Source organism: Homo sapiens, chromosome 14 (genome assembly GCF_000001405.40).
Source record: "Homo sapiens chromosome 14, GRCh38.p14 Primary Assembly".
Lineage (NCBI taxonomy): Eukaryota > Metazoa > Chordata > Mammalia > Primates > Hominidae > Homo > Homo sapiens.
Window position 1 is genome coordinate 19,611,714 of NC_000014.9, and position 17,177 is coordinate 19,628,890.

The window sequence follows — 17,177 nt, forward strand, 5'->3', positions numbered from 1 at the left end:
GAATTCGTAGTGCCCTGGTCAGCACAGTCACTCTTGTGATATACTTGGTGTATATACCAGGGTTAATTACTGGTCCAGAAGAACTTAATCTCAAGAGTCAATTTCTAGTTATCCCAACATGGCACGGATAAAATCTTGCAGAAAAAAAATCTTTGTCATTGAGACCAAATTATAGTTTTCATACAGTGGATTTACATTGTTGATGTTTTACTTATGTTTATGTTAGACTTAATTTATATTTGTAGAATCTACTGTTTCTGATTATTTAGAGAATGGGAAACTGAAAGAAATTTTAAAGACATTAAGTGAACATTATTTGTTCTAATGGGTTTCTAGTGAATTTCCTTCAAGGTGGGGCATAGAGATTGAGAGGAGAGGTTTTCTAGGAGAGTCTCAAACAGGAAGACAACCGATATAAGTGTTTATTCCTCTTGGTTGTCAGTGCGTCAGTAAAGCTTCTTTCCTTCTTTTTTCTAGCAGGCAGATAGAAGTTCATGTCACTTTCTCCTTTTTTATGGAGTAGGATGTGATACTCCTTCTAGTGGAAATACCAATCAAATGTCCATGGGTCATGAAGTGTCACTATGTACTCCTGAGCCTCTCTCCAGAAGGGAAAAGGGAACTCCTCTATGGTCAGCTTCTTTTGTAATTTTCCTGTATCATCTCGTGTGCTCTATTTGTTTTCTGAATGAACTTTGGTAAATTTCATCCAGGTAATATAGAGTAATAGTGAAAAACTGCTTAGACTCTAGTTCTATCACTGCTCTTTATGGAATTTTGGGCAAGTTCTTAACATCCTTGTTCCTCAATTCCTCAACTTTAAAATGGGGACAATAATAATTCCTGCTCCAGAGTTGTTGTGAGGGTTAAATAAAAAAATGTGTAAATAGCACTTGACACATACAAGCTGTATCTGATAACCTCCACCTCATGAAAAACCATTCATAGCATAGAAGTATAGAATTTGTACCAGCTAACAAAGGTACAGATGTACAGGGATAAAAACAAAATATTTTGTTTCATGTTAAAGATAAGTGTTTCTGTGATTTGCATTTGTGTGTATAATTTCCTTTAAATATAAATCATATTTCAAGTGAAAATATCGGGTCATTACAGAAGAGTTTATTTTCCAAACCAAAACTTTTTTCATCCCTAATTTTTAATATAGCCTTGTTAAAGAAAAAAACATCTAAGCAGTATGCTATTTATTATTGTCTGTTTTACTTGCAGAATTTGAATGTATTTTGTCAATTATTTTCTCCATTTCATGTTTGGGGAATAGGTCATTCAGAATCAAGTCTATCTTCTACAGCAATATTTTGTTCTTGTTTATGCCCTTGTTTCAATGAGTGCCGCAGTGTACTTATTTTATTACTTCCCTAGAGCAAGTAGATAGAATTTCCTGTTACTTCCTCTGTTTTTGTCATTTGTAATTGACTGGGAAGTACATTATATAGTTACTGCAGTAGATTTATGTTATGGTGTTTTACCTGTCCGTGTTAGAATCGGTTTCCATTTCTGGAATCTGGAATAGGATAATACCTATTTTATTTGAAATTGGACAGATAGTAGCCTTATGTTGGTCCAGATAATCTCATTTCTCATTTGGACAAGATATTTTGGGGTTTGAAAAATTCATATAATGATTAAAGGAGAAAGCTCTTATGAGTTATTGTATGCTGAGATATATGTGGACACACACACACACACACACACACACACACACACGCAGTTTATTGCATTGTTGGGTTTTATACATAAAATTACCCAAGTTGCAAATATATGTCTACCACCCTTGACTCTCAGGATAGTGCAGCAGGATGCAGCGGAACCCCCCTGACTTGCTGACAAGCGCAGACCAAACTAGAAGTGGCCCTGTACATGTTTCTGCGGAACCCTGACACTGAAGCTGTTCTGGTTGCCATGTCCTGTTTCCGCCACCTCTGTGAGGAAGCAGATACCCGGTGTGGGGTGGACGAAGTGTCGTTGCGTAACCTCTTGCCCAACTCTAACACATTCATGGAGTTTGCCTGTCAGCAATGTGATGTCAACAGGTAAATATGAATAGTGGTTTTTTTACTCAACCTCCCTAAAGCACATGGCATCTGATTGTGAGAATGTATTTAAGATTACTCTTCTGTAAGTTTACAGGAAAAATTCAAGTAGCTTACTTGAAATCCTTTTCTGAACAAAGTAAGATGAAAATAAAAAGCGTTTGAAATAAATTGTTAGTCTCCCACTGAGTTTTTAATGTGCTATAGATTTTAAAATTAACTGGCAGTACGTGTTACTATCAGTTATGACTATGTAATTTACGTTTGTATGACTATGTAATTTATGTTATCCATATACATAGTCAAATTACATATGACTATGTAATTTATGTTATCCATAACTCCGTATGTTATGGATAGTGAAGTTTACACACATTGGCATATGTTTTGAGTAAATTATAGGTGGGAATAGCTATTTTATGTTGTGGACATTGTAGAGTCTAAGATAAGTACCTTTCCTGTGAGGTTAGTGAACAGAAGTTTTTGGCTTTATCATTTGAGGCATTTGCTCTGCTCCTCCTACTCTGCCTTTTGGGTGGGCTTATCAGGTTGTCCATTGGCAGGCAGGGCTCTAAGTGCAGTAACTTGATTTGCTGTTGTAGTTGCTTAGGAACAGCAGCACTTCCGAAAGAGTGATGGCACTGCTGAGGCGCACTGAGCATCCCACTGCAGGAAACACTGAGGTGTGCCCTAAGCAACAAAAACACCTCTCCCAGGCACCCACGCTCGATTTTGGAAGCCTCTTGTTACATATGTGTGATCAGGAATAGCTTTGAAGTAAATCCAAGATATGTGCATATTACAAGTATAATATCTGAGTACTTAATATATATCAAGTTTGAAGCTTGGCTGTTGCTGATTGATGTTTAGCTCTAGACTTAAAGTTGCTTTCAAGTGATAACTGTCTTCATTTTAGACTTGGGAAGATACACATGCAAAATGGGAACAAGCAACAAAACTAATCCTTAGCTATCCAAAAGCCCAAATGGAAGATGGCCAGGTAAGTCTGTAAAGTTGACTTTTGTCTATTAACTGATCTGCTAAATATATGTCCTTCTCTTTGGTAATCTTTCACGAGTCACTCAGTAAAGTAAGCATATAGTTGTCTGAAAACTGATATTTAGTTGTGGTTTATCTAGACCTGTACTTTGTAATATGATAGCCACTAGCTACGTGTGACTCTTTAACTTAAATTTTAACATAATTAAAATTAAATACAGTTTAGTTCCTCAATCATATAGTAGCCACATTGCAGGTACCCAGTAGCCACATATGACAGGTACTTACTCTGTTGGACAGCAGAGAGAAAATGTTTCCATCATCACAGAAATACTGGGCAGCACTGCTAGAGACTGTTTGTTGCAAAGACCATTTCTTTATCTTTTCTTGCTCTTTCTCCCTTCATCAGGGTGTTTCACAGAATTTTCAGAAAAGGAGCAACAGAGGTAGAGAAAAATTAACATGGAAACCATTCATTTTGCTATTTTGTTAGGTATTCTAATTAAGGAATGTCTTGGGCAGAAGATGGAACCCATAGATAAAATAAAATTTTAAAATATGGACAGTTCCTTCTACTATTACTATTGACTGTATTATCCATTACTTTGGAAATTGATGAGTTGGTGTTTGTGTGTATATGATTTATAATGTTCACATTGCTCTCATTATTAGATTTATAAAAACTGGCTCTTCTCTCATGTTATTTTTCTGTCATGCTTAATTACAATAAGAAAAAAGTTATAGTTTTGTGAAGCAAAATTGTGTACCTAATACCTTTATTTGGAGGGGACATGTAGCTTTAGAATGAAAGCTTTTGGGGGGTAACTGTTACTATAATATGTAATTACATACCATACAATTCACGCATTTAAAGTGTCCAATTCAGTGACTTGTTAGCATGTTCACAGAGTTGTGCAACCATCACCACCATCAGTTTCAGAACAATTTCATCAATTGAGAAAACCCGGTATCCTTTAGCTATCTCTGCCTCTAACAACCCCCCCACTTTCTTGTCTCTCTTCCCCCCGCTTCTCCAACCCTAGGCAACCAGGAGTCTACTTTGTCTCTGTAGATTTGCCTATTCTGGATATTTTCTGTAAATGGAGTTTTAGAATATGTGGGCTTTTACGATTAGCTTCTTCCACTTAGCATAATGTTCCCAAGGTTCATCCGTGTGAAATCAAAGCTTTTTAAAAGAAATTTGATACTTGGGCAATTGTATTAGTGTATGACAAAAATAAATCAGTGGCTCTTTAAAAATGTATATGGTAATTTAGGGGGTTGATTTTAATGTATTTTTTACATTTTTTTGTACTTTTGTCACGGAAGAAATGTTGGATAAAGAGTAATTTGTCAAGTCTCAACTAATTTAGGTTTAATTCATGCTTTGCACAAAAATTTTGTGTTTAGGCTGTTGAAAGCTTCACAAGACCATTGTTAAGAGGCGAGTGTCCCATGTGAGTGGAGGAGGACCCATAGATTTGTCTGACACAGACTCCCTACAGGCATGCATCAACATGACTGGCTTCCTTTGTGCCCTTGGGGGAGTGTGCCTCCAGCAGAGAAGGAATTCTGGCCTGGCAACCTATAGCCCACCCGTGGGTCCGGTCAGTGAACATAAGGGTTCCATGATTTCAGTGATGTCCTCAGAGGGAAACGCAGATACACCTGTCAGCAAATATATGGATCAGCTGTTGTCGTTAATGGTGTGTAACCTTGAGAAAGTGGGACTTCAAATACGGACCAATGATAAGGACCTGGTGGGTCTAGAATTGAGTCCTGCTCTTTATCTGATGCTATTTAACAAATTGAAGAAGACGCATCAGCAAGTTTTTTGACTCCTAAGGACAGGTAAAGTGTGCTTTTTTTTATTTTTCACCTTTCCCTATGAATAGACTGACTTGTTTGAAATAATGAAGCCTTTTTCTTTCAGATTATTTAAATTAGGTACTCACAGTTTTTAAAAATTGTCAAAAAATTGTAGAAAGAAGAATCATCTCAATGAATGGTCAGCTTGCTTCTAGGAACTCTGATGTCTATGTGTGCCTGAGGGTATACGTGCCTTGTATATGGGTCTGAGTGTCTGTGTATATCTGTGTGCCTGTTTGGCTGCGTGCCTGTGGGTGCATGTCTCTATTTGTGTGTTTAGATCAGTCAGTTTCATCTCTCTAGGGATCTGTCTTCTGGGCATTGATGGCAAATCATTAATATATTTGTTCTCTCTATAGGTTTTATTGACTGATACCAATACTCAATTTGTAGATATAATGAAGAACTTGCTAGATAATCATACTGAAGGCAGCTCTGAACATCTAGAGCAAGCTAGCATTGAAACAATGATGTTAAATCTGGTCAGGTAAGCCTTCTACTGAAATGTAGCAGAAACATACTTTAAGATTTAAGAGACAAGAAAAACCTCTCACACATTGATATTGGTAGTAATTGATAAAATAATTTGCCATTCTTTACTGCACACAAACTAGGGTTGACAACAAGGTAACCAGAAATTGTGTATGCTCTCCTATAAATAAATATCTTACTGTTTTCAAACTTATGTTTAGCTCGTTTTATTTGATGGTTAAAGTATTTTGAATGCCTTATCTTGTGTCTGTATCTGATAATTTTTTTATTGTCTCTGTGTCTGTATAGGTATGTTCGTGTGCTTGGGAATATGGTCCATGCAATTCAAATAAAAACGAAACTGTGTCAGTTGGTTGAAGTAACGATGGCAAGGAGAGATGACCTCTCATTTTGCCGAGAGATGAAATGTAGGTGAGTTCTCAAAAGAGCAATGTAGGGTCTTGTAAATCTTAATTTGTTGAATGAAGTACAGAAATAGACTAGATATCTGGTTACTGGTAGAAAGGAAGACATAAAAAGAGAGCAGTTTACATGTTTGTTTTTCTCTGTGTCTCTCCTCAAATTTCCCTAAGCTTTGTGCCTGTGGCAAGCCTCCCTTTTTCTAAAACTCTGCTGTACTTGAGCTAAGAATTTGATCCTGTTTCCAATCTGATAGCATAACTAAAGGCCATGATGGAGGATCAGTATCCACGTTGCTTGTTCCTTCTGGCTTTTACATCTATGATAGCAGTATCTCTTTTATAAAGTCGTCATGTCACCTGGGTTATCTGCCAAATTATTTGCACCATAAGTAATCTTACATGACTGAAGGTGTGTGTGGGGGGGATATGACTTCAGAAAAATTGTTTGCTGTTTCTCTTTTCTCCACCATCCTATAGGAATAAGATGGTAGAATACCTGACAGACTGGGTTATGGGAACATCAAACCAAGCAGCAGATGATGATGTAAAATGTCTTACAAGGTAAAAAAAAAAAATGACTTTCAAATATTAGTGGGTTTTACTGTGAGAATTATAACTACTTCATTACAGCTTTATACTTGTATTTTATGTGTATTTAAACTTTTTAGATGTAAAACTTTTGTGTTCAAAATATGTAAAGACACTAATCTTTATTACTACTTTTTCTTGACCGATAGACTTTCAGGAAAAATAAATGTGCGAGAGCGGTATGTTTGGGAAGTTATTGTTGTCAGTTTATGAAGAATAGTCTACAGTTATTGGGAAATAAGATACATAAAGCCTCAGATTGCATTTATGTTATGATGAGATAGATAAAGGTATTATTTGAGAAACTCATTGTGTTGAGTCTAAGAAACAATTGATTTCCTGATTCAAACACCAGAGATAGACCAAAAAAGGAAGTAATTAAGTCTACTTTAATGATAAATACTTATTGACACATATCAGAAAGTGATTAAACACTATGGACTGTATAATAAGCATTTACATATGTTTCTTTGACAAAGCCTAGCTTTATAATACGGTCGTCTCTCAGTATCTGTCAGGGATTGGTTCCAGGAACCACCCCCCAAACTCCTGCCCACATCTCACTCCCATGAACACTAAAATCCACAGACTCAAGTCCCTGATACAAAATGTCATAGTATTTGCATATAAGCTATGCACATCCTCCCATATATTTTAAATATTTTTAGATTACTTATAATATCTAATACAATATAAATGTTATATAAATAGTTGTTTTACCATATTGTTTAAGGAATAAAAACAAAGAAAAATCTGTACATGTTGAGTATTTGAAATCCAGGAGATTAGGTTGGACTTTCAATAAATGGTGTTGATAAAACTGAGTAATGATCTGGAAAAATATCTTCATACCATTTATGAGGATAAACTCCCATAAATCAAAACAGCATGGCAAAGCAACGCCTTTTTCATCCATTCAAAATCCATAAGCTAGAAAGGAAAAGATTGATAAAATGAATTCATTCAAAAATCATAAACTTCTGTCTGGGACAAAAATGTCATGAGTAAAAACAATCCTATGGTTAATATCCTCGTCCAATAGTTCTCTTAGAATAGTCCTAAAAGTGCTTTTGTGGCTCAAAGAGCAATACCTTGAAATTTTTGGTGCATGTTGTCAGATTACCCTTTAGAATGCCTGTTGCTTTTAAAATATTTTTTTATTTTAGTATTTTATTGTTTATCCAATTATAGACTATTTTACATACTCAGTAGACAACATAAAGCCTCAGAGGTACTCTGTTCTTTTTCTTTTAGGCATCAGGTACCTGAAAAAGAAGAGATCAAGGCTTTGAAAACGTTAAGTATTTTCTACCAAGCTGGGGCTTCCAAAGCTGGGAATCCTATTTTTTATTATGCTGCACGGGGTAAGAAATACTATGTTTGCTGTCTCCTCTCAACAGAATTTTTTAAACGATAGCAATTATAGAGATGGCAAGTTTGGTTTTTCACATTTGACTTAACAAGAATTGAAGACAAGTTTACCTGGGAGCATACAGTGGGTTAAATAGCCTGCCTTTCCTAAAATGGTGGTCAGTATCTAGTAACTGCTTTTCAGACTACCCATTTCATATTGGTTTCCCTGTCCTACATCATTTTTTAAAATACTGCCTACAATGGATTAATTACCAAGAGTTAAAAAACCACAAAGCATCTTTTGTTTTCAAGTATATTCTGATTAAATAGTACAACATGATAAGCGGGAACTTTTTTTAAAAGAAGAAATAAAACTGTAAGAGCCTGTTTCTGAGAACTTTTAAAAATATGCTGTGTAAGACAGCATCAGGGTGATTTAGCAAATAATTCAAAGGGGTGGTGGGAAATCATGAAGATGGTGCAAGGGGTGGCCTGGGAAATGGTGCTTGTTCGTGCTGCCCTCAGTCGAGGCTGGTTCCTAGAAAGCCTTTCTGGAAATGTTGTGAGCTCTTCCTTAATAATAGATATGATGCTTGCATTGCCTTCCCTATCATTGTCTTTTTTTCTTGCCTCATTTTACCTTCCTTTTGAAAACTCTTCTGTGACATTATTTGGTCCCATTTACCATAACATACATTCATGGTAATTGAGCCTTAGAGACAACATGATACGTATAGAGACCACTGATTTTGGAATCTCAAGGATCATGTTTAGACTTAGTTCTGCCAATCATTAGCTATAGACTTAATCTTTACCGGTTTCCTGGATTTAACAGTGTTTAACATCCATGACCGTTAAGTTAGTAGACGTACATTGTTAGTCAATTTGCTGGCCACAGGTGGCAGTGTGTAGGAAACAAATTGAGGTTGAGAAATAGTGGAGAGGCGGTGAAGAATCAGTGGAAGATGGGAAACTTGTCTAATTAGGTCATTCATATAGCCTTAAGACCAAGAAGTCCAAAGGACTGGAGCATTAGGGAATCAAGAAAGTAAGAAAATTGTGTCGAACCTCCCCCTGCCCCCGCCCTTTAACAATTCTAAGTAACCCCTTCTCACCTTCCCATGAAAGGCCTCTCTCCAGCTCTCATCTCAGTTGCTATTTCTAAATTGCCTAAGATAATTTTAATTTTCTTTTTTCTTTTGGATTTTAGCATTCTAATTTTTTTTTATTATTATACTTTAAGTTTTAGGGTACATGTGCACAATGTGCAGGTTTGTTACATATGTATACATGTGCCATGTTGGTGTGCTGCATCCATTAACTCGTCATTTAGCATTAGGTGCATCTCCTAATGCTATCCCTCCCCGCTGCCTCCACCCCACAACAGGCCCCGGTGTGTGATGTTCCCCTTCCTGTGTCCATGTGTTCTCATTGTTCAATTCCCACCTATGAGTGAGAACATGCAGTGTTTGGTTATTTTGTCCTTGTGATAGTTTGCTGAGAATGATGGTTTCCAGATTCATCCATGTCCTTACAAAGGACATGAACTCATCATTTTTTATGGCTGCATAGTATTCCATGGTGTATATGTGCCACATTTTCTTAATCCAGTCTATCATTGTTGGACATTTGGGTTGGTTCCAAGTCTTTGCTATTGTGAATAGTGCCACAATAAATATACGTGTGCATGTGTCTTTATAGCAACATGTTTTATAATCCTTTGGGTATATACCCAGTAATGGGATGGCTGGGTCAAATGGTATTTCTAGTTCTAGATCCCTGAGGAATCGCCACACTGACTTCCACAATGGTTGAACTAGTTTACAGTCCCACTAACAGTGTAAAAGTGTTCCTATTTCTCCACATCCTCTCCAGCACCTGTTCTTTCATGACTTTTTAATGCTTGCCATTCTAACTGGTGTGAGATGCTACCTCATTGTGGTTGTGATTTGCATTTCTCTGATGGCCAGTGATGATGAGCATTTTTTCATGTGTCTTCTGGCTGCATAAATGTCTTCTTTTGAGAAGTGTCTGTTCATATCCTTCGCCCACTTGTCAATGGGGTTGTTTGTTTTTTTTCTTGTAAATTTGTTTGAGTTCATTGTAGATTCTGGATATTAGCCCTTTGTCAAATGAGTAGATTGCAAAAATTTTCTCCCATTCTGTAGGTTGCCTGTTCACTCTGATGGTAGTTTCTTTTGCTGTGCAGAAGCTCTTTAGTTTAATTAGATCCCATTTGTCAATTTTGGCTTTTGTTGCCATTGCTTTTGGTGTTTTAGACATGAAGTCCTTGCCCATGCCTATGTCCTGAATGGTATTGCCTAGGTTTTCTTCTAGGGTTTTTACAGTTATAAGTCTAACATTTAAGTCTTTAATCCATCTTGAATTAATTTTTGTATTAGGTGTAAGGAAGGGATCCAGTTTCGGCTTTCTACATATGGCTAGCCAGTTTTCCCAGCACCATTTATTAAATAGGGAATCCTTTCCCCATTGCTTGATTTTGTCAGGTTTGTCATAGATCAGATAGTTGTAGATATGTGGCATTATTTCTGAGGGCTCTGTTCCGTTCCATTGGTCTATATTTCTGTTTTGGTACCAGTACCATGCTGTTTTGGTTACTGTTGCCTTGTAGTATAGTTTGAAGTCAGGTAATGTGATGCCTCCAGCTTTGTTCTTTTGGCTCAGGATTGACTTGGCAATGTGGGCTCTTTTTTGGTTCCATATGAACTTTAAAGTAGTTTTTTCCAATTCTGGGAAGAAAGTCATTGGTAGCTTGATGGGGATGGCACTGAATCTATAAATTACCTTGGGCAGTATGGCCATTTTCACGATATTGATTCTTCCTACCCATGAGCATGGAATGTTCTTCCATTTGTATGTATCCTCTTTTATTTCATTGAGCAGTGGTTTGTAGTTCTCCTTGAAAAGGTCCTTCACGTCCCTTCTAAGTTGGATTACTAGGTATTTTATTCTCTTTGAAGCAGCTGTGAATGGGAGTTCACTCATGATTTGGCTCTCTGTTTGTCTGTTATTGGTGTATAAGAATGCTTGTGATTTTTGCACATTGATTTTATATCCTGAGACTTTGCTGAAGTTGCCTATCAGCTTAAGGAGATTTTGGGCTGAGACGATGGGGTTTTCTAGATATACAATCATGTCATCTGTAAACAGGGACAATTTGACTTCCTCTTTTCCTAATTGAATACCCTTTATTTCCTTCTCCTGCCTGATTGCTCTGGCCAGAACTTCCAACACTATGTTGAATAGGAGTGGTGAGAGAGGACATCCCTGTCTTGTGCCAGTTTTCAAAGGGAATGCTTCCAGTTTTTGCCCATTCATTATGATATCGGCTGTGGGTTTGTCATAGATAGCTCTTATTATTTTGAGATACGTCCCATCAATACCTAATTTATTGAGAGTTTTTAGCATGAAGGGTTGTTGAATTTTGTCAAAGGCCTTTTCTGCATCTATTGAGATAATCATGTGGTTTTTGTCTTTGGTTCTGTTTATATGCTGGATTACGTTTATTGATTTGCATATGTTGAACCAGCCTTGCATCCCAGGGATGAAGCCCACTTGATCATGGTGGATAAGCTTTTTGATGTGCTGCTGGATTCGGTTTGCCAGTATTTTATTGAGGATTTTTGCATCAATGTTCATCAGGGATATTGGTCTAAAATTCTCTTTTTTTGTTGTGTCTCTGCCAGGCTTTGGTATCAGGATGATGCTGGCCTCATAAAATGAGTTAGGGAGCATTTCCTCTTTTTCTGTTGATTGGAATAGTTTCAGAAGGAATGATACCAGCTCCTCCTTGTACCTCTGGTAGAATTCGGCTGTGAATCCATCTGGTCCTGGGCTTTTTTTGGTTGGTAAGCTATTGATTATTGCCTCAATTTCAGAGCCTGTTATTTGTCTATTCAGAGATTCAAATTCTTCCTGCTTTAGTCTTGGGAGGGTGTATGTGTCGAGGAATTTATCCATTTCTTCTAGATTTTCTAGTTTATCTGCATAAAGGTGTTTATAGTATTCTCTGATGGTAGTTTGTATTTTTTAATTTTCTTTTGTACTTGAGATGAACCATATTTGCATTCTAACCCCAACCTTTAATACAACCAGGATGTTTTTACTTTCCCTTTTTTGTGTAAGTAAAAAGCAAACATTGGTGAGGAAGGTAGAAGATGTGTGTCCCCTCCTCTTTAATTGTTTTTTTTTTTTGCGACAGAGTCTCGCTCTATCACCCAGGCTGGAGTGCAGTGGCTGGATCTTGGCTAACTACAAGCTCCGCCTCCCGGGTTCATGCCATTCTCCTGCCTCAGCCTCCCTAGCAGCTGGGACTACAGGCGCAGGCCACCATACCCGGCTGATTTTTTGTATTTTTAATAGAGACAGGGTTCCACTGTGTTTGCCAGGATGGTCTCTATCTCCTGACCTCGTGATCCACCTGCCTCAGCCTCCCAAAGTGCTGGGATTACAGGCATGAGCCACCATGCCCAGTCTAAAATCTGACTAGTTTACAAATAGCAAAGATTTCTGGAAAACAAAGTTGGGTTGGTTTTTTTTTCAGGATCAGAAACTGTTATATTTGTATTCCTTCTCTGTGGTGATCTAGAAAAAGCTAAAGGAAAGCAGATTGGACCTGCTGTAGATACTTCAGTGAGATTCAATCAGTTCGGTTTCCGTGAAACCTGTTGAGTCTTGTGGCTTGAGAGTGCTAAGGATTCTCAGCTCTGCTGCTTATTAGCTGCATACTCTTTTTTTTTTTTTTTTTTTTTTTTTTGAGATGGAGTTTCACTCTTGTTGCCCAGGCTGGAGTGCAGTGGCACGATCTTGGCTCACTGCAACCTCCACCTCCTGGGTTCAAGTGATTCTCCTGCCTCAGCCTCCTGAGTAGCTGGGATTACAGGCATGCACCACCACATCCAGCTAATTTTACATTATTAGTAGAGACGGCGTTTCACCACGTTGGCCAGGCTGGTCTCGAACTCCTGACCTCAGGTGATCTGCCTGCCTCAGCTTCTCAAAGTGCTGGGATTACAGGTGTGAGCCACCACACCTGGCTTTAGCTGCATAATCTTAGATAAGTTTATTTTTCCAAATCTGTTGCTTCATATGTTAAAGCTGGGGTGTGTGCTTATGAAAACTGTCCACCTCTCCTATGAAGTGTTTTGTGACCTATAAAGTTGTGTAAGGAGTAAATTGGAGATTTTCTTTTTTTCTTTCTTTCTCTTTCTGGGGGATATGGCACTGTCAGTTTCAGTTTTTCAGTCCTTTTAGCTTCTTACTTAGACCTACTGGAGCTCCTCCTGGCCTTCATTTTTGCCTGGTGGGAAGCCTAGCTCCAGGACAGATGAGTACACAGTACATCAGGGCAGAGCATCCATTTACTCCATTATGAAGGTCTTGTCTGTCTATATGCCATCAGCTTTGTCAAAGAGCACTTGGGTTTGACTTGTCTTTTGATACTCCTGTGTTTCTGCGGCTTAGACTACCATGTATTAAGTGATGCTTTTTGAATTGCGGATTTTCCAATCTCCTCATAGATAGTCCGCAGACGTTTCAGACTTGAAATGTCCAAAACTTAATTCAGTATCTCTTCCAATCAACCTCCTCTTCAAACCATATTTCTCTTTCTCAGTAGCATCATCATCTCTTCTAGTTCCCCATCTAGAAACCCTAATCATTTTAAATTCTTTCCTCTTATTTCTTTTTTTTTTTCCTGGTGTCCCCTGGGGTTTGTAAAGCTCTCCAGACATTGAGACTGTGCGGGCATGTCTCACTCCAAATTGGGCGAAATCAGTCATTGATTTTAATAGATTTTCACCAGGTACCTTTTCTGCGTTAAGCAGTGGGTTAGAGGCTAGACTCAGAGATGAGTAAAACCAGACCCCACCCCCTGACCTAGCCCTTCTTGCTAAGCCAACACTTGCTAAGCCAACACTTAGTGAGAGCATCGGAAAGCCTGGTGGGCTTCTGAGCCCTGGGACTGGAGAAGTGGGGGTCCCAAATCCCGTTACAAGATCAAAGAGAATAACAACAGGAAACTGCCAGAAATACCCAGTCATGGGCAAAGGGGCCTGTCCACATACCACTTGATGCACAAGAACCCATGTCCTTACTTGAGAGTACATGTGTGTTCACAAGCACGTGGAGCCCAAGGGCCTGTGCAGCTGTCCATGTGGGGATGGGTATCAGGCTTCTGATTGGGATGCACAAGTGGTGTGGGAGTCTCTTTTTTAATTATTATTATTATACTTTAAGTTTTAGGGTACATGTGCACAACATGCAGATTTGTTACATATGTATACGTGTGCCATGTTGGTGTGCTGCACCCATTAACTCGTCATTTAGCATTAGGTATATCTCCTAATGCTATCCCTCCCCCTTCCCCCCTCCTCTTATTTCTTTTATCTTCCTCATTGTTAGTCACCAAATCTTGATTTTACCTGTGAGAGCCTGGGCGATCAATTTAAGTTGTTCCAGTTAGGCTTTTATTGCCAAGCAGTCATTTGTATTTTCTTAAGGATCTTAGGAAAAGCATGAATTAGAGCAGAGCCTACCCAGATATAGAGAGAACTAGATGGCTGTGGGTTCTGGAACTGGCTACGCTCTTTGACTGTCTCTTGGTTTTGTGTTCAGCTCTTCCTCATGATTTTCATCTTTCTGTATCCTTTCAGCTTTTGCCCCAGATAGTAATCCCTTCATTATCTCAGTACTTGCATGTCTAAAATTCCAGAAAGAAAATATGATTCAGCTAAAAAATATCTCTGCTTGGCAGGACCTTTAATGTTAGGTGCTGGCCAGCCAGTTGATTTCTGGTGTCCCTATGTCCAGTATGTGCCTCAGCCTGCCGAGTAGCTGGGATTACAGCCACCACCACACCCAGCTAATTTTTTGTAATTTTTAGCAGAGACAGGGTTTCACCATGTTGCTTAGACTGGTCTTGAACTCCTGACCTCAGGTGATCCGCTCACCTCAGCCTCCCAAAGTGCTCGGATTATAGGCGTGAGCCACAGGGCCCAGCCCACCTGAGGCTTCTTTTTCCTTCCCAAGCCACATCACCATCCTGGTGGAACCCTCCTGTGAGGACAGCCAAGGCCTGAACTACCTGCGGTGGGGAGCACCTCAGGGTTTGCCCAGGCAACCAGCCAGCCCTGGTCCAAGGCATCCTGGAGCGAGTTGTGGATGGCCCCGTGCCCCACCAGACAGTGCGCCTGGAGGACCTGGACGAGAGCGGTGAGCCCCAGGCTGGGGAGCCAGTGCTGCCTGGCATCCTCCGGGCATCCTACCTGGCTGAGGGTCTGGGCCTGGGCCTGCCGGTGACAGCCATCCCTGTCCTTCCTGCTGAGGGGGCAGGCTGTCAAAGCTTATGTGAAAGCAGCTGAAGAAACAGTCACAGCCCATAAGGCAATGCTCCCTGGCCTTCGTTTCCACAGTGATAACGACACTACCAGAATATCCCCCTCAGTGCAGTGGCCAAAGTCAGAAAGTGGGATTAGCCAGGCATGGTGGCTCCCAGCACTTTGGGAGGCCAAAGCGGGTGGATCACTTGAGGTCAGGAGTTCGAGACCAGCCTGGAACATGGCAAAACCCCATCTCTACTAAAAATACAAAATAGTAGGGCGTGGGGGCGCACGTCTATAATCTCAGCCACTCAAGAAGCTGAGGCATGGGATTACGGCTGCCAGAAAAAATGTTGTTGCCCAAGCTAGAGTGCAGTGGCGCAATCTCGGGTCACTGCAACCTCCACCTGCCAGGTTCAATAGATTCTCCTGCCTCAGCCTCCCAAGTAAGTGAGATTACAGGCATGTGCCACCACGCCTGGCTAATTTTTTGTATTTTTAGTAGAAATGGGGTTTCACCACGTTAGCCAGGTGAATCCCAAAGTTCTGGGATTACAGGCAAGAGCCACCACACCCAGCCGATATTTTGAATTTTTAAGGTTCATCAGCTTGGTCATTTGTGTGATCCAAAGTTGTAGGCATTTTAAAAACATTAAAAATGTTTTCATTTTTTATTTCTTCTATAATTTTAGACACATATTCATTTTTATTTCTTCTGCAGTTTTAGTTATATATCCCTAAGGTCATACAGCTAGTAAAAGCTAGGATTCAAGCCCAGGTCTTCTCATTGTGTTGCTTCTCCAGTACTGCACTACCTCTCCAAGATGCTTTTGATGGTATCTACAGGATTGCTAAGACCATATATGGGAAAGGGCTTTGTAAACTGTGAGGCTTTTTTATGTAAAGCAGAACATGATGTGAGATTAAGAAAAGTAAATACTAAAGGAGAAAAGGATGATAAACCCATTTATATAGTCTGTCAATTTAACTTTTTTAATTTTTTTTTTTTTTTTTGAGACAGAGTCTCGTTCTGTCACCAGGCTGGAGTGCAGTGGCACGATCTCGGCTCACTGCAACCTCTGCCTCCCAGGTTCAAGCGATTCTCCTGCCTCAGCCTCCCGAGTAGCTGGGACTACAGGCACGTGCCACCACTTCCAGCTAATTCTTTGTATTTTTAGTAGAGACAGGGTTTCACCGTGTTAGCCAGGATGGTCTCGATCTCCTGACCTCGTGATCCACCCGCCTCAGCTTCCCAAAGTGCTGTGATTATAGGCATGAGCCACCCATACCCGGCCAAGTTTAAATGTTTATTTTAATGTTTGTGCAATAACGTCCAGTTTTACCAAGCAGAATGATGTGCATAGGAGCTTTTATGCAGAACTCACTGTTCTTCAGTTAGAGCTTATTACTCTAATAGTGAAATCAAATCCATCTTCAGTTGCTACATGGCTTTGTTAAACAGTTAAACTTGAGTTGGAGATGCTCTGTCGTAGGGAGGAATTTTCGCTCCACAGATGTGTTCATATAATGTATTTTCCCCTTTCCCCTATGGAAACTTTGTGGAAAGATTATTTCAGTGTTAACCCTGATTGATATTTTAGTAATTAAACAAGTGTCTGTTACTCCTTTATCAAGCATTTAATGAGTGTCTTCGGTGTGCTAGGCACTGCACTAGACTCTAGGGATTCAAGGATGAATCACACTTAGTTTCTACCCCCTGGGAATTCATTCTGGTTAGAGAAATTGTTAAAAAAAAATTATCATCCTATGGGATACTTTTTTAAAGTATGAAATGAGATAATGTATGTGAGAAAACTTTGGAAGCTTTACACATTTAAGATTTTTTTCTCCAGTGCATAGCCTGATGCCTCACATATTTTAAATGCTCATTATACCCTTGAATGAATTGGTGAAGAGCCAAGAGTTATGAGAGCATAATACTAGAGAGTAGATGGATTAGTTCTGCCTGGATGGACAGGTGAGATGCGGAGGCTTCCAAGAATATAACTTTTGAACTGGACTTGTAAATATAAGTTGCTTAAGAATTGAGAGAGAAACCGGGCCAAAGGCAGGGGTGGCAG

At 39.3% G+C, this 17,177-nt stretch overlaps 1 pseudogene; it reads left to right on the top strand.

The window, feature by feature from the left end:
* Positions 476-7,766, top strand: NF1P11 (neurofibromin 1 pseudogene 11; annotated as a pseudogene).